The sequence below is a fragment of the Homo sapiens genome, chromosome 9 (genome assembly GCF_000001405.40).
Source record: "Homo sapiens chromosome 9, GRCh38.p14 Primary Assembly".
In the NCBI taxonomy this organism is placed as follows: Eukaryota; Metazoa; Chordata; class Mammalia; order Primates; family Hominidae; genus Homo; species Homo sapiens.
This window is the reverse complement of record NC_000009.12, coordinates 86,185,202-86,202,906: the sequence shown is the minus strand read 5'-3', so window position 1 is coordinate 86,202,906 and position 17,705 is coordinate 86,185,202. Positions and strand designations below refer to the sequence as shown.

At 43.0% G+C, this 17,705-nt stretch overlaps 2 annotated features.

Annotated features, from left to right (window-relative positions):
- Nucleotides 392–441: a silencer, noted in NCBI's record as "silent region_19995". NCBI's record gives its function as "represses an Ori minimal core promoter by ATAC-STARR-seq in GM12878 lymphoblastoid cells {active_cell/tissue: GM12878}" and the evidence as "EXISTENCE:reporter gene assay evidence [ECO:0000049][PMID:35858748]".
- Nucleotides 15,263–15,917: an enhancer, noted in NCBI's record as "OCT4-NANOG-H3K4me1 hESC enhancer chr9:88801905-88802559 (GRCh37/hg19 assembly coordinates)". NCBI's record gives its function as "activates a minimal SCP1, AML or CMV promoter by ChIP-STARR-seq in naive H9 embryonic stem cells {active_cell/tissue: H9 hESC(naive)}" and the evidence as "EXISTENCE:reporter gene assay evidence [ECO:0000049][PMID:30033119]".

Here is a 17,705-nt window from a genome sequence, read left to right as displayed (position 1 = left end):
CATTTTACTTGTTCTTTTATTTGCTTTATAGTGATATAGAAATATGGAAATGAATCCCAACAAATCAAGGAGTAGTGATCACAACATAATAGAACATACATGATCACAAAGAGTAGTGATCACAACATAATAGAACGCATGCTATTAATCTAATAAGAATTTTAATATTATTATTTTGTACATTTTTATATATCCCTAACAAGTGGTAAGTAAACGCAGTTTTGAAAAAAAAAAAAGTGAATCTTTTTTTAACATACTCAAGTTTGCTTTTTAAATGAATCCATGATGCTGTGAACATCTCTGCCCCGAATAAAAGTTTATTTAACTTTAACATTTGAAGATTTTGAAGCTTACATATCTCTAAAATTAATCATATTAAGGGTCAAAGTTGAGTAGCATCCTCAGCATGCTATTGCCCCCTAGTGGCTAATAGTAAGAACATGGATTTGAGTCAGGCACTGCCCCAGCATGCGGCTCAACCAGCTATCCAAAACTACCCACTTCAGCTTAGCCATCTCACCCTGTACTAAGGAGATAAACTCGACCAACTGACTGTTGTTGGTTTCCATCCCCTAACCCCATCAGTAGTTTCTGAAGGGATTCCGTCTTTCCCTAGAAAAATCTTGCTCCCAAAATTCTGACCTCTTTCTGAGTTTTCCACTGTCTGCCTCCCAGGACCGGGAGCTCTAAGTCGTGAGCAAGCCAGGGAAGCTTGGGAGGTCACTCAGAGAAAGCACCCCAATAGTATCTTATCTGGCTGCCATGCCATGGGACATATCTTGAAAACAGCAAAAGCAAAGTGAAATGCTTTCCACTCCACCTTGCAAAATGCTGCATAGAGTGAAAACTACTGAGATTCATGGACTCGTGAATAAGGCCACAGGCAAGCTCTCACCTTGTTAAAAAGAGAGGCTGTCCTGTGTGTGCAAAAATACTTGGTGTCCACACTTCTTGATGAGTTACCTTGGGAGAATTCCTCAATTTATCTGGGTTGGGTTTCACTTGTGAAATCCTACCCTGACAAATTTGCCCCACCTGCCAAGGCACAAATAATCACTTACACTTCTGTGCACCCAGAGCTCTTTAAGTCTTTTCTTTCTTTCTCTTTCTTTCTTTCTTTCTTTCTTTTTCTTTTTCTCTCTTTCTTTCTTCCTTTCTTTTTTCTTTTTTCTTTCTTTTCTTTCCTTCTTTCTTTCTCTTTCTTTTTCTTTCTTTTTCTTTTTCTCTCTTTCTTTCTTCCTTTCTTTTTTTCTTATTTCTTTCTTTTCTTTCTTTCCTTCTTTTTTCTTTCTTTCTTTCCTTCTTTCTCTCTCTCTCTCTCTCTCTCTCTTTCTTTCCTTCTTTTTCTTTTGAGGCAGAGTCTTGCTCTGTCACCCAGGCTGGAGTTCAATGGCACGATCTCAGCTCACTGCAACCTCCAGGTTCAAGTGATCCTCCTGCCTTAGGCTCCCGAATACCTGGGATTACAGGTGCCTGCCACCACACCCGGCTAATTTGTGTATTTTTTAGTAGAGATGGGGTTTCGCCACATTGGCCAGGCTGGTCTCGAACTCCTGACCTCAAGTGATCCACCCACCTCAGCCTCCCAAAGTGCTGGGATTACAACTGTGAGCCACCGCACCTGTCTAAGCCGTTTCTATTTAAGTTCTTGCACATTGTATGAATTCTGCTTCCTCCATCAGGCTTTAAGCTTTTGAGGGAAAAATATTGTGTCTCAATCACTTTGGTCATTTTGTGGGCAGTCCTTGTGCATTATAAAAACTGAGGCTGTCACCTCTGTCTGAAATCTTTGGGCAGTTCCTTATCTATTTGCCCTCAAAAGAAAAGTACCTAGCCAATGAGACTGTATCCTATAGCCAGGGCAAAAGAAGCTGTTCTCAGAACAAGGAGTCTTTACTTTGCTGCTAACTAGCTCTAAGACCCTGAATAGCCCCTATCGAATTGCAGTTTTCTCACCAGTTAAATAAACAAGTTGGATGACAATGTGTGACAGGTTCTCCAAGATTACTTTCAGTTCTGTAATAAGTGAATATATTTTCCTCTAATTCTATATGACCTAATTCTGCCCTGATCATTTCCTTTTCTCACTCTCTCACTTCCGATCTTTCATTTCTGAAGAATCACCCTCATGAAGGTGAGAATGAATTAAGTGGTACTAGAGTAGAGTCAGAGACATCATTATGAACTCACACACACACACACACACACACACACACACACATATATATATATATATACACACACACACAAATAATTACAGATAAGCTGGGTTAGCATGCATACATATGTTTCCTAGCCCTGTCCACTGAAAGGTTCTAGAAGCAATGACACCCCAGTAGCAACAACACACCCAGTGCACAAATCTTGATTTCTAATAAAATTCTCCAATCAAAAGAATCAGGGTTCCTTGAGAAGAAGCTGATTCTAGGGTTAGAGCAGTGTCTTCATCCATTTTCTGCTGCTATAACAGAATACCACATACTGGGTTATTTATAAAGAACAAAAGTTTATTTGGCTCACAGTTCTGGGACATGGTGGCTCATGCCTGTAATCCCAGCCACTTGGGAAGCTGAGGCAGGAAGATCCTTTGAGCCAGGAGTTCAAGATCAGCCTGGGCAAAGTAGCAAGATCCTGTGTCAAAAGGAATAATAATCTCTCCTTTTTGTTGTAAAAATAAATTTATTTTGTAGTAAAAAATATAAATAAGTAAAGCAGATTTTGAATTGGCACAAGAAAAAAAAACAACTCTCCAACATAATTTCATATTATATTCAGATGTAAAACGAAATGTACAAGTATGTAAATGTATTCATATAGTCAATTAGTGCAGGTACATTGAAAAAGTATATATAATCTTGAGCTCCCCAAAACAAGTTCCAGAAAGGGCCCCTCACACTCCTCCTATACCAGATCTCTGTGTAAGTGGTAACACATCCAAGCTGAGGAATGGCTGAGCAAGTGACAAGGAGAAAGAACCAATGGATGGAGAAAACCAGAATCAAGCCCAGAAGACAACAGAGCTGTGTGTGCCTATACCAGGCAACTGGAGGGGCATCACCTTCTATCCCTAGGAAGGAGAGTCCATATGAACCTCTCAATCCTTGCCTCTTCTGGGCCTCCCTAGGCTAGTCAGTTCCATGACATTGAAGGAGACTCTAATCACTCCTTATTTAGGGAGCCCCCTCTCATAAGTAGTCCCTCTTTGCTAACCAGAGCAATTCATCCCCAAAAGCCCCGATAGCACTTAGCCTTCTAAGTGAAAAATAGAATTACTATTCATTGTAATGAAAAAAATCCATTCATGCTAAAACAACATCAAATGCCATCAAAATGAATAATGCATCAACAGTGAACATCAAGTTATCACACAACAGAAAAGGCAGGTGTCCTGTTATCTGTAACAAGCCTACAGGCTTGCTCAAAGTGCTTTCCAGTCTGTGGCATCATATAAAGCAAAGACCATGGGCCCCAACACCACCAGGTATACATGGAGTTGTGCAACTAAACCCTCATGCTGGTTAGAAATGAACAGAAAAGAGAGGACTAAATAAATGGATGACAGACTGCAAGTAATGGGCAGATGGATTGTCACTGCTAGACACTACTAAGCTGGGGTGACCACTGGGGGAATCATCAAGTGTGAAGCTGTCTCTGGGAGAAAGGTTTTATGTTTAAGGTTATTGGATTGAGGTAACAGAGGGACGAGTTCTACAGGGAGCTGGCAAAATATTCTGAAATACTTGTCTAAGAATTAAGGGGTTTTTGTTGTTGTTGTTGTTTAGACAGAGTTTTGCTCTTGTCGCCCAGGCTAGAGTGCAATGGCACGATCTTGGCTTCCTGCAACCTCCACCTCCCGGGTTTAAGTGATTCTTCTGCCTCAGCCTCCTGAATAGCTGGGATTACAGGTGCCCACCACCATGCCCAGCTAATTTTCATATTTTTAGTAAAGACAGGGTTTCACCATCTTAGCCAGGCTGGTCTCGAACTCCTGACATTAGGTGATTTGCCCCCCTCAGCCTCCCAAAGTGCTGGAATTACAGGCATGAGCCACTGCACCTGGCTAGAATTAACTTTTTCAAGAGATTCACATAACCAAAGCAATAGAAAATTCTCCTTGATTACTTTACCAAAAAGCAACAGCGATCTAAAAATAGGATCTTTGTACATTCCAGTTGGCCTGGAACAATCCCTGTTTATGCCTGTTGTCTGGACTTATTAATAATGTTTCCTTTTCTCTCCAAAGTGACCTGGTTTGCTAAATTACATTATTAGTCTACCTAAAAAATGATTCCTAGAGTTGTTTGAAGAATAGTATAAAGTTTTCATTGTTTCTGTTTTGATTTTTTTGTTTGTTTGTTTTATTATTATAGAACTTGGCATATATAGGTTTGTGTTAGTCCATTTTGTGTTGCTATAAAGGAATACCTGAGCCTGGGTAATTTACAAAGAAAAGAGGTTGATTTGGCTCACTGTCCTGCAGCTGTACAGGAAGCATGGCACCAGCATCCGCTTCTAGTGATGCCTCAGGAAGCTTCCACTCATGGCAAAAGGTGAAGGGGGAGCAGGCATGTCACGGGGCAAGAGACAGAGCAAGAGAGAGAGAGAAGGAAGTGCTAGACTCCTTTAAACAACCGACTGTCTTGTGAACTAATAGGGTTAAGACTCACTTATCACGGAGGAGATGGCACTTAGCCATTTACAAGGGATCTGCCTCCATGATCCAAACACCTCCCTCCAAGCCTCACCTCCAACTTTTGAGATCACATTTCAACATGAGATTTGGAGGAGACAAACATCCAAATCATATCAATGTCCACTTCCTATCATGACCTCTCTCCAGCCTGTCCAGTCCAGGTAGTCCCCCTTGTGTTCCTGTGCCCCTGACTTCATCATTCATGCTTGGAGACCTGGATTCACCTGTCATGCTCCCCTGTTATACAATTCCCCTTCCTACAGCCTTTAAACATGCCCAAATCCTGCCCCTCCGCATTCTAGAGCCTATGTCTTCCCCTATCATCTAACCATCTTAAAACATTTTTTCCTTTTGTATCATCTTATCTTTTGCAAAAGATCCACACTTTTCACTCTGCACACTCACCTGGGTGATCACATCCCTCCTCATGGTTCCAGACATCACCAATATTCTGCTGAATCTCAAATCCATTATCTGCAGCCACTTCTGCTCACCTGCATTTCAGGCATGTAGATTCGGCTGCCTACTGAACATCTTCTGCCACAGGCACTTCAGACTACATTCACCACCTTCTCCTCTCCACTGCAGCTCCTACTCCATTCCCTAGCTCAGTTAATAGGCCCATCATCCAAAAACAGAACCAGTAGGCATGTGCATGTGCATGTGTGTGTGTGTAAAGTGGGGGAGTTAAAAAGAATTGGCTCACATAACTATGGAGTCTGAGAAGTCTCAAGATCCGTAGTTGGCAAGCTGGAGACACAGGAGAGTAGATGGTGTAGTTCCAGTCTGAGGGCAAGAAATGACTGCTTGACCTAGCTCAAGTAGTACCAGTCAGGCCAGAGGAGCCCCCTCCTTTTTGTCCTATTCCGGTCTTCAACTGATTGATTGGACAAGGCCCACCCACATTAGAGAAGGCAATCTGCCTTCTTCAGTTTACCAATTCAAACTTTAATCTCATCCAGAAATACCCTCAGGGACACTCCCAGAATAGTGTTTGGCCAAAAGTCTGCACCCCATGGCCCAGTGAAGTTAACACATAAAAGTAACCATCACATAACCCTAGACTACTGCTCTCCCACACCATCCACATCTACGTGACACAAAATCCAGTTGGTTTCACCTTCTAATATTTCTCTTGTCTGTCATGTCTGCACGATCAATAACTCTGTCCAGTTTACCCTCCCCCATAATTCTTACATCCTTCCTAGTACTGCCTCCGAAGGACAGCCTTCCTGCCTCCATTCTTGTCCACTTCAAATCCATGCTACACAGGGTAAGTAGGGAGTAGACTATCTAAAAGACAGACTTCGCTGGGTGTGGTGGCACACACCTGTAATCTCAGCTACTCAGGAGGCTGAAGCATGATAATTGCTTGAACCTGACAAGCAGAGGTTGCAGTGAGCCAAGGTGGTGCCACTGCACTCCAGCCTGGGCAACACAGTGAGACTCTGTCTCAAAAAAAAAAAAAAAAGACAAACTTAATTGCCTCACTCAATACTAAAACCTACAACTATAGGAGAAAATACCAGTTCTTCACAGTAGAGCTTAAGGCCTCCCCTCCCTCCTATTTGCCATCCTCCTTGCCTCACACATTACCTCCAGCCATACTGGACTACTGGGGGCCTCTACCAGCTGTATCTACCTTGGCCTGTGTCCACTGCCTGGAAGCTTCATTACGCAAACACTTAGCCTGGCTAATTCTAATCATTAAATCCCCTCCAGAAAACCTTTTCTCATCACTTCTCCCCCTCGTCTCCTGGGTCCAGACTGGGTTAGGACCCCCTCCTCCCTGCTTTCAGAATTCCCTGGCCATGTCTCCATCATGACAATTAACTCATTTATTTACTCACCCAACAAATACTTCATGTACAAGGCACAAGAGCTAGGGCAGAAGCCAGACAGCAGAGCGAGGGTTGGGGGGCCCAGTGAAGAAAGTTGATGCCAACAGAGGCCATATGAAGTGTGGACTCCACGCATCCCCTGCATATATCCAAAAGGAGGCCTTCTCTGTTTCCTGTCTGCTTCACCACTGGGCTGTGAGCCTTAAAGGTCAAAGTTTTCTTCTATCTGACAATCTACCTTCCCAGCTTAGCACGGGATATGGCCTAGAGTACTCTTCATAGTGCATGGTGGATGAAGAGAAAGAGAACAGCCAACTCAGAGCTCACTCTGCTCTGGCTTGCTCTCTTGACTCTTTAGAACTGGAAAGGATCTGGCCGGGCATGGTGATTACAGGTGTGAGCCTGTAATCTCAGTACTTTGGGAGGGAGAGGCGGGTGGATCACCTGAGGTCAGGAGTTCAAGACCAGCCTGGGTAACATGGTGAAACCCCATCTCTACTAAAATTACAAAAATTAGCCAGGCGTGGTGGCACACACCTGTAATCCCAGCTACTTGGGAGGCCAAGGCACGAGGATCTCTTGAACCCGGGAGGCCGAGGTTGCAGTGAGCCAAGGTCATGCCACTGTACTTCAGCCTGCCTGGGCGACAGAGTGAAACTCTGTCTCAAAAAAAAAGGACTGGAAAGGATCTTACAGATGAGGTCCAATCCCTTATCTGTTAACAGATTAAAAAAACTCGAAAAGTAGCAAGGTGAGCAGAGAGGAAAGTCAAGTGTCAAAACCAAAACTTCTGCTTTCATAGCTTAGTACCTTTTTTTTCTAAACTGTGCTGCCTCTAATTTGAGTTGAACAAAATGTGTACTTCAGTAAAATTTCAGTTATTAATATTTAAAATCACTTATTATATAATAACTTGAACATTCTGTTTGTTTGTTTGAGATGGAGTCTCACTTTGTCACCCAGGCTGGAGTGCAATGGTGCAATCTCAGCTCACTGCCACCTCCACCTCCCAGGTTCAAGTGATTCTCCTGCTTCAGCCTCCCGAGTAGCTGGGATTACAGGTGCCCGCCACCATGCCCAGCTAATTTTTGTATTTTTAGTAGAGATGGAGTTTCACCATGTTGGTCAGGCTGGTCTTGAACTCCTGACCTCAAGTAATCCACCCACCTAGGCCTCCCAAATTGTTGGGATTACAGGCGTGAACCACCATGCCCAGCCAACTTGAACATTCTTAATGTTCTTGCTCCTTCCTTCCTTCTATCCTTCCTGCCTTGCTTGCTTCCTTCCTTTATTTTTTTCTTTTTCTCTTCAAATCACATAGTCACTTTGTTCCCAAAAGGATTTTAGAGTGAAGTGCCTACCATGAGAGAGGCATTCTAATGGATGCTTGGATGTGAAATGAACAAAGCAGGTACCTGGGGGACAGCTGTCTATGGGGGACATAAAGATGTGTAGTCCAGTGTAAATGCAATCTTTGAGTTGGGGCTGGCGTAAATGCAATCACTGAGGGATAATTAAGGTAGGAGCCAATGTAAATGCAATCATTGAAGTTCTCCAGGTTTGGGTGGATCAAGAGAGGCTTTAAAAGGTGGACATGTTTAAGCTTCATCTCAAAAAATGAATGGGGATTGTCTAAGTATTTGAGGTCCCAGGAAAGAGGATGTTCTTATCAGAAGTACAGCAGGTATGAGACAGGAACAGTAGATACTTTAGTCCTTAGGTTGATGTTTGCTATGCTCTTTAGACTTAAAAAAAAATCTATTTCTAACTGTATTAGTCCATTCTTGAATTGCTATAAAGAAATACCTGGGGCTGGGTAATTTATAAAGAAAACAGAATTAATTGGCTAATGGTTCTGCAGGCTGTACAGGAAGCATGGCACTGGAATCTGCTTGGCTTCTGGGGAGCCCTCAGGAAGCTTACAATCATGGTGGAAGGCAAAGCAAGAGCCAGCGTATCACACAGTGAGAGCAGGAGCAAGGAGAGATGGAAACTTTTAAACTTTTTTTAAACTTTTAAACAACCAGATCTTATATGAACTCAGATGGTGATGGGGATTGTGCTAAGCCATTCATGAGGGATCTGCTCCCATGATCCAAACATCTCCCACCAGGCCCCACCTCTGATACTGGGGATGACATTTCTACATGAGATTTGGAGGAGACAAATATCCAAACCATATCATTCTGTCCCCTGGTCCCCCAAATCTCATGTCTTTCTCATATTGCAAAATACAATTATCCCTTCCCAACAGTCCCCCAACATCTTAACTCATTTCAACTCATTAATCAAGTCCAAAGTCCTAAGTCATCTGAGACTCATCTCCTTCTGCCTATGAGCCTGTAAAATCAAAACAGTTATTTACTTCCAAGATACAATGGTAGTACAGGCATTATTTAAACATTACCATTCCAAAAGAAATAAATTGAACAAAAGGAAATGGCTACAGGCCCCATGCAAGTCTGAAACCCAGCAGGGTAGATATTAAATCTTAAACCTCTAAAATAATCCTTGATGCCATGTCCTTCATCCTGGGCACATTGAAGTAAAGGTTGAGCTCTTTGGGCAGCCATGCCCCTGTGGTTTTGCAGAGTTCACAGGTTAGAGTTCAGTGCTTGCAACTTTTTCAGGTGCAGGAGGCAAGCTGCTGGTGGATCTACCATTCTGGGATCTGGAAGGCAGTCGCCCCATTCCCACAGCTCCACTAGGCAGTGCCCTGGTGGGGACTCTGTGTGGGGGCTTCAACTCTACATTTCCCCTTGGCACTGGCCTAGTAGTGTGCATGGGATCCACCCCTGTGGCAGGGTTCTGCTTGAGCACCCTGGCTTTCTTATACATCATCTAAAATCTAGATGGAAGTTGCCAAGCCTCCTTTACTCTTGCATTCTGAGCACCTGCAGGCTTAACATCACATAGAAGCCACCAGGGCTTATGGCTTGCACCTTCTGGAGCTGTGACCTGGGCTGTACCTGGGCGCTTTGGAGCCAAGGTTGGAGCTGGAGTAGCCAGGATGCAGGGAACAACTTCCCAGGGTGGTGCAGGGCATCAGCACCCTGGGCCTGGCTGACAAAACCGTTCTTTCCTCCTAGGCCTCTGAGCCTGTGATAAGAAGGGCTACCTCAGAGATATCCGAAATGCCTTTGAGGCCTTTCTCCCAATATCTTGGATATTGGCACTTGGCTCCCTTATAGTCATGCTAATCTCTCCAGCAAGGGTTGTTCTGCAGCCTGCTTGCTTGTATTCTTCCCCCAGAAAATGGGCTTTTTTTTCTATCACGTGGCTAGACTGCAAATTTTCCAAATTTTTATGCTCTGATTCCCTTTTAAATATAAGCTCCAACTTTAAGTCATTTATTTACTTCCAAATTTAAGAATAGGCTCTTAGAAGCAGCCAGGCCACATCTCGAATGCTTTGTTGCTTAGAAATTTCTTATGCTAGATACCCTAAGTCATCATTGTTAAATTCAAACTTCTACATATCACTAGGGTACAATACAGCCAAGTTCTTTGCTAAAACATAACCAAGGTGATCTTTGCTCCAGTTTCCCATAAGTTCCACATTTCCCTTTGAGATCTCATCAGCCTCGACTTCACTGTCCACATCACTATCAGCATTTTTATTACAACCATTTAACTAGTCTCTAAGAAGTTCCAAACTTTCCCTCATCTTCCAGCCTTCTTCTGTGGCCTCCAAATTCTGCCCATTACCCAAATCCAAGTTGCTTCCACATCTTCAGGTATCTTTATAGCAATGTCCCACTCCCAGTACCAATTTTCTGTGTCAGGCCATTCTTGCTTCACTATAGAGGAATATCTGAGGCTGGGTAATTTTTTGGGGGGTAGGGGGGAGATGGAGTCTCACACTGTCACCCAGGCTGGAGTGCAGAGGCACAATCTCAGCCCACTGCAACCTCCACCTCCCAGGTTCAAGTGATTCTCCTGCCTCAGCCTCCCAAGTATCTGGGACTACAGGTGTGCGCCACCACATCTGGCTATTTTTTGTATTTTTAGTAGAGATGGGGTTTCAGCATGTTGGCCAGGCTGGTCTCAATCTCTTGACCTCAAGACCCACCCACCTTGGCCTCCCAAAGTGCTGGGATTACAGACGTGAGCCACTGTGCCCAGCCAAGGCTGGATAATTTATAAAGAAAAAGAGTTTTAATTGGCTCACAGTTCTGCAGACTTTACAGGATGCATCAGCTGATATATGCTTAGCTTCTGGTGAGGCCTCAGGAAGCTATCAATAATGGCAGAAGGTAAAGGGGGAGCCAGAGTATGACATGATGAGAATGGGAGCAAGGGAGGAGATGCCACACACTTTTCAACAACCAGATTTCAGGTGAATTCATAGCGAGAACTCACTTATTACCAAGAGGATGGAGCTAAGCCATTCATGAGAGATCCACTTCCACGATCCAAACATTCTCACAAGGCCCCACCCCCAACACTGGGGATGATATTTTAACATGAGATTTAGAGGGGACACACATCCAAACCATATCACCATATACCTTCTTTTGTTAGCTCACTTTTTGATGGGATTGTTTTTTTTCTTGCTGATTTGTTTGCGTTCTTTGTGGATTCTGGATATTAGTTATTTGTCAGATGTATAGATTGTGAAAATTTTCTTCCACTCTCAGTTGTCTGTTAACTCTGCTGATTATTTCCTTTGCTGTGCAGAAGCTTTTTAGCTTAATTAAGTCCCGTCTATTTATCTTTGTTTTTGTTGATTTGCTTTTGAGTTTTTGGTCATGAAGTCTTTGCCTAAGCCAATGTCTAGAAGGGTTTTTTTCAATATTATCTTCTAGAATCTTTACGGTTTCAGGTCTTAGATTTAAGACTTTGATCCATCTTGAGTTGATTTTTGTATAAGGTGAGAGATGAGGATCCCCTTTCATTCTTCTACATGTGGCTTGCCAATTATCCCAGCACCATTTGTGGATTAGGATGTCCTTTCCTCACTTTATTTTTTGTTTGCTTTGTTGAAGATCAGTTGGCTGTAAGTATTTGGCTTATTTCTGGGTTCCCTATTCTATTCCATTGGTCTATGTGCCTATTTTTACACCAGATGCTTTTTCTGCATCTATTGATATGATCATGTGATTTTTGTTAGTTCTGTTTATGTGCTGTATCACATTCATTGACTTACGTATGTGAAACCATCCCTGCATCCCTGATATGAAACCCACTTGATCATGGTGGATTATCTTTTTGATATGCTGTTGGATTTGGTTAGCTAGTATTTTGTTGAGGATTTTTGCATCTATGTTCATTAGGGATATGGGTCTGTAGTTTTCTTTTCTTGTTATGTCCTTCCCTGGTTTTGGTATTAGGTTGATACTGGCTTCACAGAGTGATTTAGGGAGGATTCCCTCTCTGTCTTTTGGAATAGTGTCAATAGGAGTGGTACCAATTCTTCTTTGAATGTCTGATAGAATTCAGCTGTGAATCATCTGGCCTTGGGCTTTTTTTGTTGTTGGCAGTTTTTTAAATTACCGTTTCAATCTTGCTGCTTGTTATTGGTCTGTTCAGAGATTCTATATCTTCCTGGTTTAATGTAGGAGGGTTGTCTATTTCCAGGAATTTATCCATCTCTTCTAGGTTTTCTAGTTTATGTGCATAAAGGTGTTCATAGTAACCCTGAATAATCTTTTGTATTTCTGTGGTATCAGTTGTAATATCTCCTGTTTTGTTTCTAATTGAGCTTATTTGGATCTTCTCTCTTCTTAGTTAATCTTGCAAATGGTCTATCAATTTTATTTATCTTTTCAAAGAACCAGCTTTTTGTTTCATTTATCTTTTGTAACTTTGTTTGTTTGTTTGTTTCAATTTCATTTTGTTCTGGTCTGGTCTTGGTTATTTCTTTTTTTTTTTTTTTTTTTTTTTTTTTGAGACAGAGTCTCACTCTATCGCCCAGGATGGAGTGCAGTGGCGTGATCTCAGCTCACTGCAACCTCCACCTCCTGGGTTCAAGCGATTCTCCTGCCTCCGCTTCTCAAGTAGCTGGGACTACAGGCGCACTTATTTCTTTACTTCTGCTGGGTTTGGATTTGGTATGTTCTTGATGTTCTTGTTTCTCCAGTTTCATGAGGTGTGACCTTAGATTGTCTATTTGTGCTCTTTTAGACTTTTTGATGTAGGCATTTAGTGGTATGAACTTTCCTTTTAGCACCGCTTTTGCTCTATCCCAGAGGTTTTGATAGTTTGTGTTGCTATTATCGTTTAGTTCAAAGGATCTTTTAATCTTCATCTTGATTTCATTGGTGCTGCAGTGATCATTCAGGAGCAGGTTATCAAATTTTCATGTACTTGCATGGTTGTGAGGGTTCCTTTTGGAGTTGATTTCCAATCTTATTCCACTGTGGTCTGAGAGAGTACATGATACAATTTCAGTTTTCTTAAATTGTCTGAGACTTGTTTTGTGGCCTATCATATGATCTATCTTGGAGGATGTTCCATGTGCTGATGAATAGAATGTATATTCTGCAGTTGTTGGGTAGAATGTTCTGTAAATATCTGTTAAGTCCATTTGTTCTAGGGTGTAGTTTAAGTCCATGTTTTCTTTGTTGACTTTCTGTCTTGATGACCTGTCTAATGCTGTTAGTGGAGTATTGAAGTCTTCCACTATTAGTATGTTGCTGTCTATCTCATTTCTTAGGTTGAGTAGTAGTTTTATAAGTTTGGGAGCTCCAGCATTAGGTGCGTATATATTTAGAATTGTGATATTTTCCTGTTGGACTAGTCCTTTTATCATTATATAAAGTCCCTCTTTGTCTTTTTAAACTGCTGTTGCTTTAAAGTTTGTTTTGTCTAATATAAGAATAGCTACTCCTGCTTGCTTTTGGTGTCCATATGCATGGAATATCTTTTTCCAGCCCCTTACCTTAAGTTTATGTGAGTCCTTATGTGTTAGATGAGTCTCCTGAAGACAGCAGAAACTTAGTTGGTGATCCATTCTGCCATTCTGTATCTTTTAAGTGGAGCATTTAGGCCATTTACACTCAATGTTAGTATTGAGAGATGTGAGGTACTATTCTTATTTATTTATTTTTTTTCGAGATGGAGTGCCACTCTGTCACCCAGGTTGGAGTGCAATGGCGCAATCTCGGCTCACTACAACCTCTGCCTTCCAGGTTCAAGTGATTCTCCCTCCTGCTTCAGCCTCCCGAGTAGCTGGGATTACAGGCGTGTGCCACCACACCTGGCTAATATTTTGTATTTTTAGTAGAGATGGGGTTTCACCATGTTATCCAGGATGGTCTTGATCTCCTGACCTCATGATCCACCCACCTTGGCCTCCCAAAGTACTGGGATTACAGGCGTGAGCCATGGCGCCCCACCGGTACTATTCTATTCATGGTGCTGTTTGTTGCCTGAATACCTTGTTGTTGTTGTTTTCTCATTGCATTATTGTTATATAGGGTCTGTGAGATTTATGCTTTAAGGAGGTTCTATTTTGTTGCATTTCAAGGATTTGTTTCAAGATTTAGAGCTTATGTTAGCAGTTCTTGTAGTGCTGGCTTGGTAGTGGTGAATTCTCTCAGTTTGTCTGTCTGGAAAAGACTATCTTTTCTTCATTTGTGAAGCTTAGTTTTGCTGAATACAAAATTCTTGGCTGGTAATTGTTTTGTTTAAGGAGGTTAAAAATAGGACCCCAATTCATTCTAGCTTGTAGGGTTTCTGCTGAGAAATCTGCTGTTAATCTGATAGATTTTCCTTTAGAGGTTACCAAATGCTTTTGCCTCACAGCTCTTAAGATTCTATTCTTGGCCGGGCGCGGTGGCTCACGCCTGTAATCCCAGCACTTTGGGAGGCCGAGGCGGGTGGATCATGAGGTCAGGAGATCGAGACCATCCTGGCTAACAAGGTGAAACCCCGTCTCTACTAAAAATACAAAAAAATTAGCTGGGCGCGGTGGCGGGCGCCTGTAGTCCCAGCTACTCGGGAGGCTGAGGCAGGAGAATGGCGTGAACCCAGGAAGCGGAGCTTGCAGTGAGCCGAGATTGCGCCACTGCAGTCCGCAGTCCGGCCTGGGTGACAGAGCGAGACTCCGTCTCAAAAAAAAAAAGAAAAAAAAAAAAAGATTCTATTCTTCATCTTGACTTTAGATAACCTGATGACTATGTGCCTAGGCAATGATCTTTTTGTGATGAATTTCCCAGGTGTTCTTTGAGCTCCTTGTATTTGAATGTCTAGATCTCTATCAAGGCCAGGGAAGTTTTCCTTGATTATTCCCTCAAATACGTTTTCCAAACTTTTAGATTTCTCTTCTTCCTCAGGAACACCGATTATTCTTAGATTTGGCTGTTTAATGTAGTCCCAAACTTCTGGGAGGCTTTGTTCATTTTTTAAAATTCTTTTTTCTTTGTCTTTGATGGATGGATTCAGTTAATTCAAAAGCCTTGTCTTCGAGCTCTGAAGCTTTTTTTCTGCTTGTTTGATTCTATTGCTGAGGCTTTCCAGTGAATTTTGCATTTCTCTGAATGTGTTCTTGATTTCCAAAAGTTGTGACTGTTTTTTATTTATACTCTCTATTTCACTGAAGAATTTTTATTTCATATTCTGTATCATGTTTTTTATTTCATTAAGTTAGACTTCACCTTTTTCTGGTGCATCCTTGATTAGCTTAATACTTGACCTTCTGAATTCTTTGTCTGGCAATTCAGTGATTTCATCTTGGTTTGAATCCATTGCTGGTGAGCTGGTATGACCTTTGGGGTGTTAAAGAACCTTGTTTTGTCATATTACCAGAATTGCTTTCTGGTTCCTTCTCATTCAGGTAGACTATGTTGGAGGGAAAATCTCAGACTCAAGGGCTGCTGTTCAGATTCTTTTGTTCCACAGGATGCTCCCTTAATGTGGTGTTTTCCCCCTTCCCCTAGGAATGGGGCTTCCTGAAAGCCAAACTGTAGTGATTGTTTTTGCTCTTCTAGATCTAGCCACCCAGTGGAGCTAGCGATCTCCATGCTGGTACTCAGGAGTGTCTGCAAAGAGTCCTGTGATGTGATCTGTCTTCAGGTCTTGCAGCCATGGAGACCGACCCCTGCTCCCGTGGAGATAGCAAGGAAGTAAAGTGGACCCTGCAGTGTCCTTGGCTGTGTTTTGTTTAGTGTGCTAATTCTATGTTGATTGGCCTCCAGCCAGGAGGTGGCCCTTTCAAAAGTGCATCAGCAGTGGTCCTATATATAGGGAGGATGCAAACTTGCCCTAGTGACACCTGCTTAAGTATTCAGGTTTCTCAGGTGGTGGGGAGGGCCATAGAGCTCCCAAGAGATTATGACCTTTGTCTTTGGCTACCAGGGCCAGTAGAGAAAGACCACCAGGTGGGGGCAGGGATAGTTGTGTCTGAGGGCAGCCTCTCCTTGGGCAGGGCTTGCTGCAGCTGCTGTGGGGAATGGGAGTGTGGTTCCCAGTCCAGTTGAGTTATATTCCTAGGGGGATTATGGCTGCCTCTGTTGAGTAATACAGGTCACCTGTATTACTTTACCAGAGGAAAAGCTGGCAGTCAGAGGCCCCACCCTGCCCCCATGCAGCCCACAGTCCTAGAGGCTGGTCTCACTCCCACTGTGCCCTCCCAACAGCACCGAGTCTATTTCCAGGCAGGTGGTGATCAGGGCCGAGAACTTGCCCCAGACCACAAGCCTCCATGTTGAGAAAGCAAGCCAACTCACAGGTTTTCGGCATCTCAGGGAGCCTGCAGCAGTCATCAGTTCCTTCAAAGGGTCTGTGGATTCCCTCGGCTTTCCCAGTATGTTCTTGCGGTAGGTCTTGGAGCAAAAGTTTACGATGTGAGTCTCCACACGCTGCTCTGTCCATCGGAGCTGGAGCTGCAAGCTAGTTCTGCCTCCTCTAAGCCATCTTATCCAGAATACCTCTCTCTGTTCCTGTCTCTCTGTCTCTGTCTCTCTCTTTCTGTCTCTGTCTGTCTCTCTCTTTCTGTCTCTGTATCTCTGTCTCTCTGTCTCTGTCTGTCTCTCTCTCTCTTTTTTTCTCTCTCTCTCACACACACTAGGATTTGCCCTCTGTCTTCCTGGTGCAGCCTCCCCACCACTCCCTAAGGAGAAAGAAATGCTCTTCATAAAGAAACTGAGGATGCCTGAAGCCCCTTGGAATGCCTTGACTTCAGGCTCCCTCCTCTCCGGACAGCAGTCCTCACACGATTATTCACAGCAATCTGAGGAGACAGAACTGGAAGGTCATTTACAGACATGTATCTGATTTTCAAAGTGTACTCTCAGGGCTTCCTGGGGAACCCACGAACGCCGAGTGTTCAGTAGGACCGGAGACACTAATAAACAGGGGCCCTTTATGTGTGACTCACTGGGGAGGGCAGCCAGCTGCCTTTTGAATACAAAGATGCTTCACAACATTCCAAGTCATCTTCTTCCTCATGGTCACGATTACCCAGGGCCTTTCTCCTCAGTTCAATTTTGCAACTTTCAGGTTGAACAAAAAGCAACAGAACTCATATAAGGAACTCCTTTGAGGATTGTGCATAGAAGAACTAAAAACTGCAGTGTCAACTTGGAAGAGAGCAAAGAAGGCATCCAGTTTCCTTTCTCTCATACCTGAAATTCAATAACTGACATCTTAGGGAAATTATAATGGCGCTAATCTGAGCCAAGCCTATTATAAAATGAAATTTTTCCATCCCACTGCCTGGCCAGCTTCTATTTATCCTTCAAAACCCTGCTTGGGCATTACCAACCAAGGTAGTTCTGTGGATTGCTCCTGTTCTCCATTTCTCCCTTCATGCTAAGACTATGCATCCCCTCTCTGCCTGGTGACTGTGTCACCTTCCACTAGAGTGGGTAGAATGTATTTCTCCACTCCATGGAGGTTGAGCTTGGCCATGTTCAGTTGCTCTAGCTGATGACATGTGGGCAGACATGGTATCATGACAATTTCAAGCCAAGCCTTTAGAGACATTGCATATGTCCACTTCTCCTCTTGCATTCCTGCCATTTGCCATGACAACATATCCTGGAGTAGCCACTGGTTCAAAGTGGATGAGAACCCCATGGAGCAAATCTGATCCCCTTCCTACCAATGACTTTCAGATCATGGGTGAAAAAAATTGTTATTGCAAGCTACCAAGTTTTGGGATGGTTTGTTATGCAACATGGTTGCCTCTAGTGAGCCATTCCCAGCCCCTTCTCCCCATACTCATCC